Source organism: Homo sapiens, chromosome 5 (genome assembly GCF_000001405.40).
Source record: "Homo sapiens chromosome 5, GRCh38.p14 Primary Assembly".
NCBI lineage: Eukaryota > Metazoa > Chordata > Mammalia > Primates > Hominidae > Homo > Homo sapiens.
In genome coordinates this window covers 59,996,989-60,015,980 of record NC_000005.10, presented here as the reverse complement: position 1 = coordinate 60,015,980, position 18,992 = coordinate 59,996,989, and the positions used below count along the sequence as shown (strand labels likewise).

The window sequence follows — 18,992 nt, the reverse complement described above, 5'->3', positions numbered from 1 at the left end:
AGGAGGCAGAGCTTGCAGTGAGCCGAGATCGTGCCACTGCACTCCAGCCTGGGTGACTGAGTAAGACTCTGTCTCAAAAAAAAAAAAAAAAGAATTGGTTCATTTGGTCATGGAAGTTGGTGAGTCCAAAACGTGCAGGATGGTCCAGCAGACTGAAGACCCAAGGAGTGGATTTTGCAACTCAAATCCGAAGGCTATCAACTGGCAGATTTCCCTCTTCCTTTGAGAACATCAGTTGTTTTTGTTATTGTTGCTCTTAAGGCCTTCAATTCTTTGAGTGAGGCCCATCCACATTATGGAGGGTACTCTATTTTACTCATTTACTGATTAATCTCATCTAAAAAATAGTTTCACGGCAATATAGATATGTTTGACCAAATATCCAAGTACCATGGGCTAGCCAAGCTGACATATAAAGTTAATCATCATACTCTCTGTGTAGTGTCTCATCATTTAGCCCAAAGAAGCTTGGGCTTCTTTACAGCATAGCAGCTGGCTTCCCAGGGAGAGCAAGTGGGTCTGTCAGACCTGAGCTCAGGAGTCCCGGGATATCATTACTGTTGCATTCTATTGGTGAAAGAAAGTCACAGGTCTAGCTCATAGCTAAGGGGAAGAAAACTACAACCTACTTCATGGTGTGAGGAATAGCATATGTGGGCAGGGATGAGGGGAATAGTTGGAGACTAGCTATCACAATCTTCCCTCTGGCCACAGCACTTCTTGTCCCTTTTCAGAAAGTCTCATCACATTACAGTGCTGGGCCCAGCTTCAAGGTCCAAAATCACATAATCTAAATTGGGTATATTTAAAGTTGATGTTCCCTCTTTATCTAGATACTTGTACCTAAAATGATACCTTCTGTGTAATCCCCCTTCCCTGCAACATACATTGATGAGACAGGGATTGTTGTATCGCTAGCAAGAAAGTCAGCCATTCAAAAGGAGGGAAATGAGAGGCACATAGCAATCGGTGCTTCATAAAAATTCTGAGATCCAGCTGGGAACATGTTACCAATTCCCTCAAATCTAGGTTTCCTGAAAAGGATCCTGTTCTCTGGATGTGGATTTCTATTCCATTGTTTTCAGTGCCTGTTGACTCTCTCCTCTAAGTTAACCTTCCTTTTCTGTAAGAAATGGCCCTCATTCGCAAACGGAGTCACTTTGTGAGACTATTTATTCCATTAAAGGTTTGGAGGCCTAAAATCTTCTTTTCATTTTGTCCTGTCACTCTCCCTTTTCTTCCAAGGTGGCACAGCTTCTTTTTAAACTTTGTAATTTTCTAATGTATCCAGTTATATTCCATTCCATTGGGCGAAAGCTATTTCCCCAAGTCTCTTTAAGACAGACACTTTTCTTCTTTAGACTGAGAGTCAGAATCCTGTGCAGTAACGTTTTTAAGAGTTTAATCACCCTTGTCTCCTAGCAGAGTGGAACTTATAAGGGTTTTAAGAGGTATCTTACTACCACATTCTTGACTTGATATTTACCCTGAGGCCACATTGTACTAGCAGTACTTGATTTGATCAGAGACCATTTTTTACTCTGAAAACCTTCTGCCATCTGGAGGGGTTGAGAATGAGAAATAATATTATTTTCTAAGCCAGCAAGTCCTGAGTTGGACTTTGTGGATTAAAATAACAGTTTCCTATTTCTGATGGGTAGGATTTTCCTGAGTATGTCTTCTGCTCCATGTGGTATTGATTAGGTAGGTCACTTACGTGGCTACATTTAGTCAATAGCTGGTCTGGGCTGGATGGTCCAAGAAAGTTTCAGTCATATACCTGGCACCTCTGAGCTTTTCCATATGGCCTCTATGTGGAATCATCTTGGGCTTCCTAATAGTATGGCTGATTCAGACTGGTCAGACTTTTTTTTTTTTTTTTTTTTTTTAAGGTGGAGTCTTGCTCTGTTGCCAGGCTGGAGTGCAGTGGCATGATCTCGGCTCACGGCAACCTCCGCCTCCTGGGTTCAAGCAATTCTCCTGCCTCAGCCTCCTGAGTAGCTGGGACTACAGGTGTGCACCACCATGCCCAGCTAATTTTTGTATTTTTTAGCAGAGATGGGGTTTCACCATGTTGGCCAGGATGGTCTCGGTCTCTTGCAGGCTGGTCAGATTTTTTATATGGAGGCTGACTCCAAGGGAAGGTGTTTTAAAGGAACAGGCCTGCCCAATGTGCAAGCACTTATCTAGCATTTGCTTGCATAATTTTTCTAATGTGCCAAAGTAAGTCATATGGCAAGGCCAGGATCAACATGGGAGAAACTACATGAAGTGGCAGTGCCAAGAGGTAGCATTTATTATGGGTCACCCATATAACAATCTCTCACACAGAGTAGTTTGGTAGCTGGACAGAAATAAATTTGTCAACTTCTTGTACCTTTTACTAGTAGTATAACTTAGGGCAAATTGCTGTGCTTCTGGGATTCTTATTTGCTGCTTGTAAAATAGAAAACATGACACAGATGCTACTAGATCTTTGTGACAACTGTACACACATATGCATACACACACACACGAGGTACTCACAGTGGTACTTAACAATGGCTACTATGTTTTAATGGTGTACTTGGCAGACCAGCAGTTAGGTTTTGAATGGACTAACTGTGGTTTTATCATATCAGGACCAGGTTGTAATCAGAAATCAGCGCTTGCATAGCTCAAGGTGATTAAAGGTAAAAAGGTTAAAAGTTGAGAAGAAAGGTTGGTGTTAGATACTATTAGTTCTTGGCCAAAAGCTGTTGGCCTTGGGAGAGGTGGAAGTTTGAGATCAGGGATCACAGTTATATGAGAACACACAGTGATGGTGAAGTTTGGAACCAGAAAATAAGTCAGGATTATACGGGGTCCAAAAAAGCGGAGTCAGGGCACTCATGAATCTAAACCAGATATAGAAGCTTATGGAGTCAGAGAGCAGAAATCAGGGACACAGGCAAGAAATCCAGGAAAACAAGAATTAGATATACCCAGTATGTTGAGACAAATAGCTATGGGGCGCAGAGGCAAGAGAAAAATTTGGTAGTTTGGAGCCATTGTCTCCAAACATAATTATAGCCAAAAGTAAAACTTGTTCACAGCATGTGGGCAGATCTTGAGCCATAGGTGGAAAAAGACATCTGGTTAGAATACGATGGCAGCAAATTGGTAGCTCCTGACATGCATCAGAACCCCTTTAAATTTTCATGGGATTCAGGTTGTTCCTTCAATTATTTCAATGATCTAATCTTTAACTTCTTGAGAATATGATGTTTTCCTAAAAAGGGGACTCCCACACAGAAACTGTCAGGCTATGAAGCTGTCGATGGCATTTGTAGTACTCACACAGTTCAAAAAAATGATGCTATCTCTGCCATCTTTTGTTCCATCTGTAGAATAGTCCATTTTTTTTGGTTATAGCAGTCGTCTTCCTTGAATGGTTCCTACCCAGAGGGAAATCGGAATTGCCGGTACTCCTATGTCTCAGTTGCAGAAGTCAGGATTTTTTCTGAATCATTCTGAGCATCTTATCTTTCCTCATGCTGATTATTATTTCAGTCTGAAAGCTTATGCTCTCTTATAAAGTCACATTGTACTTTCGTTTTCCATTGAAAATTCTGAATAGAATAAAATGAAATCATTTAAAGTCATGTTTAAGAAAAGTAGAGTTTCTTGATTAAAAAGGAGAAATTTAGAGTGGCATTCAAAAGAAATACATTAAAAGGAAAAAGTAGCATGCACTCATGCAGTTCTTGTTGGGAGGATAGTTTCTTTTCCTTCTCATTCGGCCCATTAAAAAGTTCAATTAATTTCTTTTAAAGATTTCAATTATGAATGTATCTTAGGCATTGATAGGGAGTAATTTTTAGATCTGACTTATTTTTATATATTATTGTTCATTTTTATAGCTTTTCTGAGATTCTTGGCAGTGAGTCAGCACACAGCATTTCTACCTATAGTCCAATTTATATGAGTCCTACTTTCATGCACCACTGTGATAGTGATGTCTCGGTTAGTGGCTGTCATGGTCAGTAGCCTGAAGATCTATAGCATCTACATATTTAGAATGGATTTTTAATGTCTATGAGAGCCTTTATTTCTCCACTACCCGGTTCCTTTGTGGATCCTGAGTCTGAGGAGAACATAACTGTCAATTAGAACCACTTTTTAAGAATTGCTGTAATTAAGATTTTTGATGACCGAGTTATTAATTAGGAAACAGGGTCTCCATATTTTGCTCTGCTGCTTCTTTATGTCCTAGAGCAAGGGTCAGCATACTTTTACTGTAAATGGCCTGGTAGTAAATATTTCCAGCTTTGTGGGCCACATCATTTCTGCTACAAATACTAAACTGCCATGTGGTACAACAGCAGAAAAGGACCTATGCATAGACTGCTGTTTTTAATGTCAATATAGTATCAGTAGAAAAGACAGGGCTTAATAAAAACTTTGTGTAATATGGTCTCTTTGGCATAAAATTAAGAAATGTATAGAAGTAAACGTTGTTACAAAAACTTTTGCAAATGTGTGTCGCTTTTCCCAGCACTCACGAATAACAGTCATTTTTAACCAGACTTCTCGTTTTTGCCAAGTATTATTTGTTCTCATCTAGTAACAGTCTAGGACAGGTGTCAGCAAACTACTGCCACAGGCTAAATCCTGCACCTTGTCTTTTCCTCTCATGCCACATAGATATTCAAATGAGGAATCTATGCATAGGTCTTTGACCCACCCATCAGCAGAACATGCCCTTTCTGGAGCTCCATTTCTCACTCTCAATAGTGCTGACCACTTAGGAGGAGCTGTCCATGTTCTTTTGTTTGAAATTCTCTATGAAAAATGACATCTTTTCTGAAGTGATTGCTGGAACTAATGGGGCCTTTTGTGTTTGCAGACCTGTTTTCCTCAGTGAAGCTGGCAGGGACTGGTAAGGAATCAGAATTACAATCTTGTCTTTATTAGCACTGTGTTTGCATCAGTCCTCTCCTGAGAAACAGTGCAGGTTGAGATAAATTTCTCCTGTGAAGTGATACAATTCATTTTCATCTCACATATGCATGGCCTTTGTGCCATGCAGAACACACTTTTTACTGTTGTTGATGTAAGTGAGAAGTTATTAAGAGGTTTTAGTTTGAGTTTATTTTAGATAATACCAATAACTGAATGCTTTACTAGTGTTTACTACAAAGGTTTAAAAAATCATTACTACCTATAAAATTGAGTAAAATAAAAATGATTTAGAACTAAAGATAATCTCAAAATTGCACATTAGATAGCTATCCTATGTTGTAGAAGATATTCAGTCTGCATCATAATATTTGAAACAAATACAACATTTCACCATAAGACAAGAGCAAAATGCACAAAGAATCGAGTGTTCCATGCAATAGGCTTTATGAACACAAAGCCTGTGGCCAAAATGAGGCAAGAGGAAGTATGAGGGGTACACAGATGTCATGTGCAGTACCACATACCACCCCTGGGGAGTGATAAACTTTTTTGTGTATTTGCATTTGACTGATTTTTACTTTGTGAAAACATAATGTGCTGGGGAAAATCACATCTGAATCCACAAAATGTCCATGGTATATTGACATGTACCCCTAATTTATCAATTTTGTATGAATGTATTTGCATTAGAGAAACATGTTTCAGAATACATTGTGCTTTGCAAGTGTTTGCACTGTTGCAAACTATGTGCTTTATCTCACTGAATCTTCACAATTACTGCATGCGGTGGGCACTATTTTCATGCCTGTTCTACAAATGAGTAGACATATAAAAGTTAAATAACTTGCCAGTGGCTTTGAGGAAATACGTAACAGTATATTAGAGATGGGATTGAGTTATTCTAATTTTCAGGAAGAAGAGGAAAGTGAATTCTCCCCACTTATGTCCTTAGGGAGTAGGACATTAATTGTATTTCTTTTAGTTCTTTTTGCAAATGTTACTTTCACAGAGGCTTCTCATGGATCCCTATCTAAAATTACTCCCCATTCTATAGACTTTTGTTTAAAAAAAATAGAGGCCACAATGTACATACTCCAAGACCAACTGCCATTAGCCACATAACCAAAATTTAAATTATCTCAATTTTCTCCAAAATACTAGGTCTAACCATAAACAAAACGTGAAATGTGAGCTTTTCATCCTTGTCAACATGACTCAGTAAAATTAAACCAATCAGCTGCAGACAAATCAGCTTAAACAGTTTTACTTGTCCTAAAAGGAATATAAGTTTATGATAGCCAACCACAGCGAAGACAGATGCAGTTCCTTAATTATGCTTTATAAGCTGCATTTTAAATGCTGTGAACAGAGCTTCTTACCACTTTTGATTTGAGGTCCCTGGTTTGCAAACTGTCCTTTTGTATGCTCAATAAACTTTAAAAAATTTTTCTAACTTGATCTGATTTTAACACATTCTATCTACTTTAGTGCTTTTTATATCCTAAACACATGACGCTAACATTCTATATAGCTCACTTGTTTATACTGTTTATTTTCTCTTCCCCTACACTAGTGAAATTCTATGAAGGCAGGAATGTTTGTCATTGTCACACTACTGTATTTCCAGTGCCTAATATAGGCACTCGATAAATAATTATTGAATGAATGAATCAATCAATTGATTAATCTTAGGAAAAGTTCTTCAATGGATCTTAAAAAAAAATCTTGTGAGCCTTTAGAAAGGAAAGTGATGATCACCTGGAGCTTGTATTAGGTCACTAATAGTAAAGCATATCAGATTAAATAACTTACTTTTCCCATAAGACCAGTGTATCTGAGGAGTGCTGCTCCCCCTGTCTATCTGAATTTCAACGTTTGATAAAAACCTTCCATGATGAACTTATGCTTAAGATGTAGGAAGGCAGTTGATGATACTGTTAGGCAGAGTAACAGCTGAATGCCTGTATTCATGAATCAATGTTTAGAGAGAGACCTCTAGTAATTGGCTGAAGGATTTGGTCTTCACATTTCCTGTTCACCATTTTCATTGTTAATTTTGAGGGTGGTATTAATGGCATAAGGAGCTAATCCACAGATGAAATAAAAATGGCAGGAACCACTAATATGGCTGTTAACAAAATCAGCATACAAAATTACTTGACAGACTAAATGGGAGAGGTAAATATAATAAGACAAAATACTAAAATGAAAATATAAAGTCTAAAACACCAGAGAGAAGTAGGAACTAATGTTGTTTGAGGAGCAATAGGAGCAAAGGTGAGACATAGTTTAATAACAACTGTAGGTTTAGGTGGTAGTTACAGAAGCATAAATCAATAATATGACATTATTTCCCCCAAATATTCATTCATTCTTGGGTTTCATGAATAGAACTGGGTTTAGAATAGAAAAGGTAATGATTTGGCTGTAAATTTATGTTGCTTCTCCCATAGCTAGAGCTATGACCCCAATCCTGGGCAATTCACTTTAAGAACTTTGAGAAGTAGTGTACACCTAAAACTTGCAATCCTCATGGAAAGATGAGTCCAAACTGTGTCACGTGAAGAATACCTAAAGCTGTGGTTCCAAACTTATGGCCTTCAGATGTGTTCTAAATGGCCCATATGGGGTTTTTAGAAATTTGAATTTGCGGCAGATGTTTCAAAATTAGTAGATGTCTCATTAAATATAGATTTCTGGGATTTACTCTTGCTACTGTGAGGGTGTGTGATCCTGTGTTTGTGTTCCTCTCAGACCACTTTACTCATTTACTTTAAATTTCTGGTGCCTATAGCAATCGGGGTGCTAACACCCGGGGGGATAAAAAAGGACTGGGGAATTCATGGCCTGTAAAACAAGGTTGGGGTTGGAGAGATATAAATATATCTGGAGAGCTTTCATAGGGCAGAGCAATTAGACCCAATCTTTGTGTCCCCAAAATGTTAAACACTGGTATTAATAATAAGAAAACATATTTCCATTAACCATATAGAATAACTATCTTATAGTGACTTGAGACTGGCTATTTTATTCATCTTTTGTTCATCAGTACCGAGAAGAGTTTCTGACAATGTTTGTACTCAGCCACTCTTAACTGAATAAATGTGGCAAAACAGGTTGCGAGTGGTGAATTCCATTCCAGGAGCAGCTAGAATATATGCTCTTTGAGAGCAGAGATCTTTGTCAATTTTGTTTACAGCTATATCAGAGCACCTAAATCAGTGCCTGCCATGTAGTAGGAGCTAATTAAATATTTGTAGATTTCATAATTGGAGATATTCAAACATAGAATCATGGTCTACTTGTCAGTGCTGTAGGAAAAAGTAATTAACAATATAAGTAGAGGGTCATGAAACAAGGGAAATACTGAAGTAGATGACATTTAAAGTTACTGCCAACCCTGAAAGCCTATCAGACAGTGACATAGAATGGGATTATGTATTTTACATTAAATATTAAGCATAGTAAAGTTAAAGTAGTGTAGGTATGTGTGGTAACAAAACTGAGAAAGCAGTTTGCCAGTTATTTATTTATGGTATGGACAGGAAATTATTGGCTAGATTTTTAAATGAAAATATCCAATAGTTGAGATTTTTCTGATATTTAACTATATCTTATATCTTATGTCCATATTGATGACAGTGATTATTCCATTTTCAATCGTTTTGTGTCATCTAAGCAGCAGTTAATCATTCCTACGTGATGCAAATATACTTTTATTCCCTGGTATTTGTAATTTAACTTACAAAACACACGTTGCCTTGAGGTTTGGCATGATTTGTTATTCTATCCTTCAAGAAGACCCATGATAACAAATCAAATCATTGAGAACTGATTTCAGTTTTCATTGTTTGGGGTGGTAACTGAAGGTGACGTTTTGAAAAATCATACTATAACTAACCTAGAAAATAATGTTCAGAGGCCAACATGTGGCAAAGGAACACATAGTTAAGTATATAGTTTTTAATAGAAATTCTATGCACCTTTTATTGTGAAGGTCTAGCATTTTAATATTTTCAAAATCCAGAAAGATGAAAAATTTCTTTATAAACTTGAAGGGAAAATAAAAAGTCTAAAGCCCTGAATTTGAGTTCTAGAAATGAATGTATTTAAAATGCAGTCCTGAGGTGCTGTATGCTAACTATGTAAAGCAATAGCTTATTAAATTCTTGGAAACTTGCTGTTTATTTGAAATTGGATATGGTAATAGATTTTTGTTAAATGTTATTTTATAAGGGATAACATTTTCTCCTGCTTAGTTTCAGGAAAAAAGAAAAGAAGCACTTAATTTTTAAAAGGTTAATGGATACTTAATGGTTGGATTAGACCTATGCATCATCATGTTTACAGCACAGAACAATGGGAAAAATTTCTATTATGGAGCAGTGCCACATAACCTTAATATCCTGTATCATCATTATCATCATTATTATGTGTTGAGTATACAAGCGTCTATCTCTGAGGAATACTTAGCAATTTATGAATTTGTTTTAATTAGTTTTCTCAGCCTTCTCATAGGGCATGGGGGACATATTGCTTAACCCTAGTTTTAGAGCCAGCCTTAGGTAAAATGGTGATGCAAACACTGTTTTACTTTGGTGACTCTTCTGCTTGCAGGGATACCTCCTTTTTGCACAGCACCTTATTTCTCCTTCTGTAAACTAAAGGAGAAAATTATTATACATTTTTATACTTAAAAATACGTAGTTGAGAATTTCAAATATATGCAAAAGTACAGAGAATAGTAATTGGTTGGCGCGAAAGTAATTGTGTTTTTTTGCCATTTAATGGCAAAAACCACAATTGCTTTCGCCCAACCTAATATAATGCATCTTAAATACTCATCACCCAGTTTTAACAATTCTCGATATACAACTAGTTCTTGTTTCATCTGTACCTTTACCCATATTTCCTTCCTCTACAATTATTTTCAAATTCAATACACAATATTTCTTCATCTGTAAGTCCTTTAGTATGTATCTAAAAATAGTCTTTTAAAAATTACCTCAATAACATTAAGATGCTTGTAAATTTTCCTAAAAAATTTCCTAATAATTTCTTATTATCAAATGTAGCTGATTTTTAAAACAATTTTATTAAATAATTTTAATTTTTGGTATGAAATGGTAGCAACTAAGGTTAACAGATCGAAATCATTATGTGTCTGAATTCTCTTTTACACTATAAATTTCCTCTTTCTATCCTTTCTCTCTGCACCCTTTTAAAAAAACTGGGTCATACATCTTACAGAGTTTCTCATAGGTTCAATTTTGCTGATTGTATCTCTATTGTGTTGTTCAACCTGTCCTTTGAATTTTCTATAATTATTAGTTAAATCTAAAGGCTTGATAAATGACTAATGTTTTATTATTTTGAGAGGATAAGCATATTTTGTTTTTTGTTTCCCCAGCTTTATTAAGGTATAAATAATAAATAAAAATTGTATATATTTGAGGTAGACATGTGATGACTTGATATAGGTATACATTGTATAATGATTACCACAATAAATTAATCAATGCATCCATCCCTATAAATGGTTACCTTATTCTATGTATGTATGTGTGTGTATATGTGTGTGTGTGTGTGGTAAGGATTAAGTATTAAGGATACTTAACATTTACTCTCTTAGCAAACTTAAACAATACAGTATTATTATCTATTGTCACCAAGCTGCAATATTAAATCCCCATAATGTATTTGTCTTATAACTGAAAGTTAGTATGCTGTGTCCAACATTACCCCATTTCTACCATGTCCCAGATTCTGGCAACCACCATTCTACTCTCTGTTCCTATGAGTTCAACTATGTTAGATTACACATATAAGCAAGATCATACAGCATCTGGCTGTCTGTGTCTGGTTTATTTCAGTTAGCATAATGTCCTCCAGGTTTATCCATGTTTTCTCAAATGGCAGGATTTGTTTTTCTTTTTACTGTTGAATAATATTCCATTGTATATACACCACAGTTTCTCTATTAATTCATTTGTCAATGGACACTTAGGTTGGTTCCATACCTTGGCTATTGTCAATAATGCTGCAATGAAGACGACAGTGCAGACATCTCTTCAGCATGCTCCTTTCATTTCCTTTGGATATATACCCAAACATTAGAGTGCTGGATCATATGGTATCTCTATTTTTAATTTTTTGAGGAATCTTCATACTGTTTTCCATAATGGAGTTACCAATTTACGTTTTCACCGCAGTGCTACAAGCGTTCCCAATTCTCCACATAGTCACCAACACTTTTTATGACCATCCTAATGGGTGTGAGAAGATACCGCATTGTGGTTTTGATGTACATTTCCCTGGTGATTAATGATGGTGAACACCATTTTATATACCTTTTGGCCATTTGTATGTCATCTTTGGAGAAATGTCTATTCAAGTCCCTTGCCTATTTTTAAAATGGGTTATTGGAGTGTTTGCTATTGAGTTGTAGGATTTTTTTGTGTATTTTGAACATATCAGGTACACTCAGCCCTTTGTATCTGTGGGTTATGCATCAAGGGATTCAATTATCTGAGAATCAAAAATATTTGAAAAAACATAATAAAACAATAAAAATAATTAAAAAGTAATATAGTATAATTATTTACATAGTGTTTACATAGTATTAGTATTATAAATAACATAGAGATGATTTAAAGTATGCAGGAGGATGTATGTAGGTTATATGCAAATACTATGCTATTTTATATGCAGGACTTGAGCATCTGAAGATTTTGGTTTCTGCAGAGGGTGGGAAAGGTTGAACCAATCCCCCATGGATACCAAGGTAAAACTATGTATGGTTTGCAAATATTTTCTATCATCCATATGTAGAAAATATTTCATTTTGCTGATTGTTTCCTTTGCTGTGCAAAAGCTTTTAAGTCTGATGTAGTCCCATTTATTTTTTATTTTGTTGCCTACACTTTTGGTATCATATTAAAATAATAATCACCAAGACCAGTGTCAAGAAGCTTTCCACCTGTTTTCTTCCAGGAGTTTTGTGGTTTAATGTTTTAATTTCTTTTAAGCACATTTTTGTATTGTATGTAATAAAATATGGATACAATTTCATTCTTTTGCATATGAACATCCAGTTTTCCCAGGAACATTTATTGAAGAGACTATTATTTCCCCATTGTATATTATTCATGCCCTTGTCAAAGACTAACTGATTATATATGCAGGGTTTATTTCTGGGATCTCTATTCTGTTCCATTGTTCTGTGTGTCTGTTTTTATGCCAGTACCTCACTGTTTTGATTACTATAGCTTTGTAATATAGTTTGGAATTAGGGAGTATGACGCTTCCAACTTTGTTCTTCTTCTTCTTCTTTTTTTTTTTTTTTTTTTTAGATGGAGTCTCGCTCTGTTGCCCAGGCTGGAGTGCAGTGGCATGATCTTGGCTCACTGCAACCTCTGCCTCCCAGGTTCAAGCAATTCTCTGCCTCAGCCTCTCTAGTAGCTGGGATTACAAGCACCTGCCACCACGTTCGGCTAATTTTTGTATTTTTAGTAGAGATAGGATTTCACCATCTTGGCCAGGCTGGTCTTGAACTCCTGACCTCATGATCCACCCACCTAGGCCTCCCAAAGTGCTGGGATTACAGGCGTGAGTCACCACGCCCAGCCATTCTTCTTTCTTAGGACTGCTTTGGGTATTCAGGGTCTTTTTTGGTTTCATATGAATTTTACAATGGTTTTCTCTATTTCTGTGAAAAATTCCATTGAAATTTTGATAAGGATTGCATTTAATATGTAGATCCCATATGGACATTTTAACAATATGAAATCTTTCAATCCATAAATATGGGATATATTTTCATTTTCATTAATGTCTTTAAGTGTAGAGATCTTTCACCTCCTTGGGTAAATTCATTCCTAAGTATTTTGTTCTTTTAGATATTATTAAATGGGATTGTTTTTCTTAATTTATTTTACAGATAGTTTATTGTTAGTATATAGAAGTGCAACTAGTTGCTGTATGTTGATTTTATATCTTGTAAATTTGCTGAATTATTTTCTTAATTATGACAGTTTTTTAGTGAAGTCTTTAGAGTTTTTTTTTAAATATAGAAAATGTCATCTGCAAATCTAATTTGGATGCCTTTTATTTCTTTTTCTTGCCTAATTGCTCTGGCTAGGGCTTTCATTACTGTGTTGAACACAAATGGCAAGAGTAAGCATTCTTGTTTTGTTTCAGATTTTAGAGAAGCAGCTTTCAGTTTTCCACCATTTAGTGTGATGTTAGCTGTGGGCTTCTCAAATATGGCGTTTATTGTCTTGAGGTTCATTCCTTCTATTCCTAATTTGTTGAGAGTTTTTGTCATGAAAGGATGTTGGATTTTGTCAAACACTGTTTCTGCCTCTATGGAGATGATTATAGATCATATGATCTTTATCTTTCATTGTGTTCATTCGGTATATTACATTTTTTGATTTGTGTATATTGGATCATACTTGCAAATCTAGGATAAATTCCACTTAATCATGGTGAATTATATTTTTAATGTATTGTCAAATTCAGTTTGCTAGTATTTTGTTTAGGACTTTTGCATTTATGTTCACCAGGGATACTGCCCTGTAATTTTTTTTCTTATAGGGTCCTTATCTGATTCTGGTCTGTTGGTAATGCTGGCCTCATAAAATGAATTTGGAAGTGTTCCCTTCTCTTCACTTTTTTTGGAAGAGTTTGAGAAGCATTTGTATTAATTCTTAAAATGCTTGCTACAATTCACCCTTGTTGCCACATGGTCCTGTGCTTTTCTTTGTTAGGAGTTTTTTTTTTTAATTATGGATTCAATCTTCTTACTTGCTATTGGTCTGTTGAGGTTCATGTAATATATTTCCCTATCCCTTTGCTTTCAGCCTATGTGTATCCTTAAGGCTTAAGTGAGTCTCTTATTGTCCCAATATGAGACAGCATTTTGTTGGATTTTTTTTAATTCATTCAGCCACTTTGTGTCTTTTGATTGAATAATTTAATCCATTTATATCCAAGATTATTATTTATAGGTAAGGAGTTATTACTGCCATTTAAAAAATTGCTTTCTGATGGGTTTGTGGTTCTTGTGCTTTTTTTTGTTGTTGCTGTCTTGTGATTTGTTGATATTTTGTAGTGGTGTGCTTTGATTCCTTGTTGTCTTTTCTGGATCTATTAGAGTTTTTTTTTTTTTTTCCTTTGTAATTACTATGGGACTTTCAAAAAACATCTTGTAGCATCTTTTAATTATAATATTTTATTTTAAGCTGATGACAAGTTAATTTCAATCACATACAAAAACTCTACACTTTTACTTTCCCCCGTCATTTTGTGCTACTGATGTCATGCTTTGCATCTTTTTGTATTGCATATCCATTAACAAATTACTGTAACTATGGTTTATTTTTAATTATTTTACCTTTTAACTTTTATTCTAAATTTAGAAATAATTTATACATCACCATTACCACATGCAAGTATACAGAATTTAATTATGTATTTACCTTTTCCAGTGAGTTGTATACTTATATATGTATTTATGTTGTTATTTAGCAGCTTTTCATTCCAACTTGAAGAATCACATTAGTATTTCTTATAAGGCAGGTCTTGTGGTAATGAACATCCTCAGTTTTTGTTTGTCTGGGAATGTCTTTACCTCTCCATTTCTGAAGGCTAACTTTGCAGGGTACAGTATTCTTATTTGACAGGCTTTTTTCTTTCAATGTTTTGAATATATTATTCCATATTATTTATTTGTTATCCATGTAGGCTTGCATTGGTGTCTGTGAATTTGAAGAAGCAAACAGTCTTTCGGTCTTTACAGGCTGATTTTAACAACCTTCTCTTCCACCAATGGCAGACCTGTTATTAGGTATGCAGATAGGCGTGGTTCCCTCTGGGTTTCTGGAGGACTCCCCCTGGCTCTCTGAGTATGTCTATGGGTAGGGAGAACCGTCCCCAGATCAACATGAGAGAGCTTGGAACTAAGTCACTGCTGCTTCAGGGTCCACATCTGAGAGGACTTGCCTCCAGGGAGTTGGATGGGCATACATCTCTGGGGACAAGATTGACCTTGGGCCAAGTCTAAGTGGGAATGGAGCAAAGTTATAGGGCCATCTCAGAATCTGCTGTGGAACCAAGTTTGGCAAGCCTGTCTCCGAGAACATGGATGGGAATGAGTCCTGACAGGTCGCTAAGTGGAGACAGGACTGCTCTCAGGCCACAGTTTCAGTTTTAGGATATCATAGTTAGCAGACAGCTCTATACAAAACTCTACTCCTTTATATCTCTGCCCATTTATGTTATCAATGTCACATATTACAGCTTTTTATATTTTGCATTTGTTAACATAGTTTTATATTTATATTTTATAATTAAGTTCTATACCAGAGTTAAAAATAATTTATGCACCACCATTGCAATATTATACGATTTTTATTTGTCTAAATATTTACCTTTTCCTTTGTGTTGCTGTCTAGCATACTTTGTCTCAACTCAAAGGACTCCTTTTAGCAATTCTTGTAAGTCAAGTCTAGTGCTAAAGAACTACCTTAGCCATTGTTTATCTTTATTTCTCCTCCATTTTCAAAATACAGTTTTGCCAGAAAGAGTATGCTTGGTTGACAGACTTTTTCTTTCAGCACTTTGAATATATTGTCCCACTCCCTTCTGGCCTATAATGTTTCTCCTGAGAAATCTGCTAATGTCATTGAAGGTCGCTTGCACATGATGAGCCATTTTCTCTTCCTGCTTTCAGGATTCCCTTTTTGTCTTTGATATTTGACAGTTTGATTATAATTTATGTTGGTATGTTGGTTTTTCCACGTTTGAGTTTTATCAGTGTCTTGAATTTGGTTGTTCATTTCCTTCCTCAGATTTGGCAAGTATCTAGCCATTGTTTTTTTCAAATAAGCTTTCTGTCCTTCTCTCTTTCTATCATCTCCTTCTCAGATTTGCATTATGTGTATGTTGGAACACTTGATGGTGTCCCATATGTTTCTTAGTCTTTCTTCACTTTTCTTCATTCTTCTTTTTTTCCTCTTTGTATCTCTGGCTTCATAATTTTAAGTGGCCTCTCTTTGAGTTCATTTATTCTTTCTTCTGCTTGATGGAGTCATCTGTTGAAATGCTCTAGTGAACTTTTCAACTCAATTACTGTATTCATCTCCATGAATGTTTGTTTTCTTTTTGAAGTTTGTTGATATTCTCATTTTGTTCCTGCATCATTTTCCTAATTTCATTTAGTTTTCTGTCTGTGCTCTCTTCTAGCACATTGAACTTCTTTAATATTATTTTTAATTATTTGCCAAGTAACATAAATTTTTATTTCTTTCTGGTTGGTACCTGGAGGTGTATTTTGTTCCTTTGATTGTGTCATGTTTCCCTGTTTCTTTGTGTGCCTAGTTATTTTTTTCTGTGATTTGTGCATTTGAAAAAGCAGCCACCTCTTCAGTCCTTATAAATTGGCTTCATACAGGGGAAGACTTTTACCAATTAGCCCACATAGAGATTTTGGGAGCCTCTCCAGTTTTGTTTTGTTTTTTTTTTTTTTTACCACGGGATACATCTTCTTTGAATTTGTGTGTGTTCTTTCCCAGTTAGAGTGATTTGCTTCTTTTTCTTCCAAGAGCTTTTAATCTCCTTCTCCGTCTGGTGTCTGTCTGTACCACTGCAGGTTCTGTGGCATTGCAATAAGCCACTGAGTTACCTTTTGCTCTCTGCAGACCCCAGGCATCCAAAGTATGTAGATTCCATTAGTGCTCTGAATCAGGCAAGACAGAAACCAGTCTCTCAGACAACACTCTGAAAAACCAGAACATTGGACATACATTCCACTCTTCTCTTTCTCTCCTAAGGGAGAAGTCATAAGGTGTGATTTATTTTTCCTGATGACACCAAGCTGTGCTGGCTTGGAGGAAGGGCTGTCATGGTTGACGTGAAATGCCTTTTCTCATCTGTTTCAATGAGACTATTATTTTCTTTAAGTTTGCCTCAGGCACTGCAACTTCTTGACTGGTTTCTAGACTTTTCATAAAACTTTTTGGATCATATATTATTGCTAAGTTGGCGTCTCTGGTGGAGAATTAGCTCTCTCGCTGATGAAACTCTACAGAATACTTTTACAGTATTTAATATTGCTCTTATTTCATCTCACACGTACATAGTCACTTTCCTAACACTTATATAATTGTTCTCTTCCCAATAGCTAGTAGTGTTTCCTGTAACACATATTGACACATACTAAGTTCTTATATAAGAAAATATTTAAGGGAATTTTGTATTTTTCCACTAAACTTTCTGTTGATTATTTGAAGGTACCACACTTTTGGTTGTTATTGTGGCTTCATGGTAAAATTTTATATGTATTAGAGCAAGACCGTAACCATGTTATATTTTATAACATGGCCTAATTCCTCCAAAAAGTAAAATAAAAAACTAAAAAAGAGATGATTTTCTTGCAATAACATTAAACTTAGAAAATTATTCAAAGGAACATCAGTCTTGATTATATAAGTCTTGGAAAAGTTGTATAGATTTCTTAATCTAAGTTCTACTTATTTCTTTCTGAGCTTATTTTTAAACATTTTGGTTTTGTTTGTTTTTATAAATGAGATGTTGGTGTGGTAATTTTAACAACTGGTCTTTGATTTTATAAATAAAAGCCTTTTGCATATTTTACTTTAAAACTGGACAAACTTACCTGACTATTCTTATTTTCAATTATTTTTCAGTTGATTTTTCTGGGTTTCCTACATTAAACTAGGTTGTAATCAAATAAGGATAAAGTTGCCTTCACTTTTCTTATAGTTTTATGCCTCCTATTTCTATTCCTCACATTGGGTTACTGAATTTGTTAGAGGTTTTTGAAAAATGGGGGCAATGTTACATTTGGGCTAAAACTATGAACATTGATATCAGCTAAACCTGGTCTCAAAACTCTGAAGGATCCTCAGTTAGAACTGAGAGGTCTTAAAAGACGAGGTGGCTAGAGGGAGGTCTGCACACACATTGCCATGAGTCCTCAGACCACATGAGACATTCTTTTTTGTCTGAAGCAAGGCTGGAGCCAGGCCTAGATGGCCTGTGGAAAGCTCCCATGGAACCAGCCTGCTGTTCTCATTCCAGGCAAACTAACCTCTGTACAGTTGATAGTGTCACTATGGACAAACTAACCTGTTTAAGCTTCATTTCCAAATCTGTATCATGGGAATAGTAACAGTTTTTTGTACAGTTTTTATAAGAATCAAGTAGCTACCTATACAATATATGTAATACAATAAATATTACTAAGTTTCTATTATTATCCTGATCTTAAGCATGAACCTATGCTTTACCAGTAGCTATAATGTTAAATATAAGTTTAATATAAACATTCTTTTGATCCATAGTTTGTTTATCAAGGGGATATTTTGTAGTTATCTGAATATCAAAGCCAAAAGCAAAGCAACATTTCTGGCTCTCTGCATGTGGAAAGGGAACTTAGCTTTACTTTGTCTCCCCTTTCCTCCCACAGCCCAATATTTGTTAGTTTATTCTAGATTTACATACCCAGTTTATCATTATAAATATATCATCACTTAAATGATGGTTTTAGGTTTTTCTTTCATGTTTATACACATAGTTTTGATTGGTATTGGTATTTAAATAAAACTTGAGAATGAAGACAATAGATCCTTTGTATTTCTTTTAAGGTTGTGATTTGACCCCTGGTTCCTCAAGTGAGAAACTTTTCAAAACACTTGAGAGAGTAAACTGGCTGAGTTTTACCTATACTTACTGTAAGACATAATTTTTAGCTGCTAAAAAAACAATGTTAGTTTCTTTTCTACACTTGGGATTCTATTACTGTATGTAACTGTGAAGGAAATAATTGACAGAACTCATGTTTTTCCTTATTTTTTTTCCTTCCTCTACTAACAAAATAGAATTGACTTTATTTTTTAAAGTCAGCCAGGAAATGTACAATGCTATTTACAAAAGGTTAATTGAATCCTAGAGTTGCAGATCGAGTTTCTTGTTGATGAGAATATACAGTAGAATATTACTGAATGAGAGATTTTTCTATTCCTTTTTTGGAAACTTTTTGGAAG

General features: G+C 35.4%; 1 protein-coding gene across 15 annotated transcripts in view; it reads left to right on the top strand.

Moving 5' to 3' along the window:
- The window catches only part of PDE4D (phosphodiesterase 4D), a 1,553,091-nt gene that overhangs the window by 506,148 nt on the left and 1,027,951 nt on the right, over positions 1 to 18,992 (top strand). For 3 of the 15 annotated variants that reach the window (NM_001349243.2, NM_001349241.2, XM_047417295.1), the window contains one exon: positions 11,635 to 11,707. The exons of the other annotated variants lie outside the window; for them this stretch is intronic. Coding sequence is in view for 2 of the 3 variants with exons in the window: in NM_001349241.2 (NP_001336170.1) it covers positions 11,696 to 11,707 (12 nt within the window). In the remaining variant the exon portion in view is untranslated. The remainder of the gene's footprint in view (positions 1 to 11,634; positions 11,708 to 18,992) is intronic. 15 annotated transcript variants of the gene reach the window in all.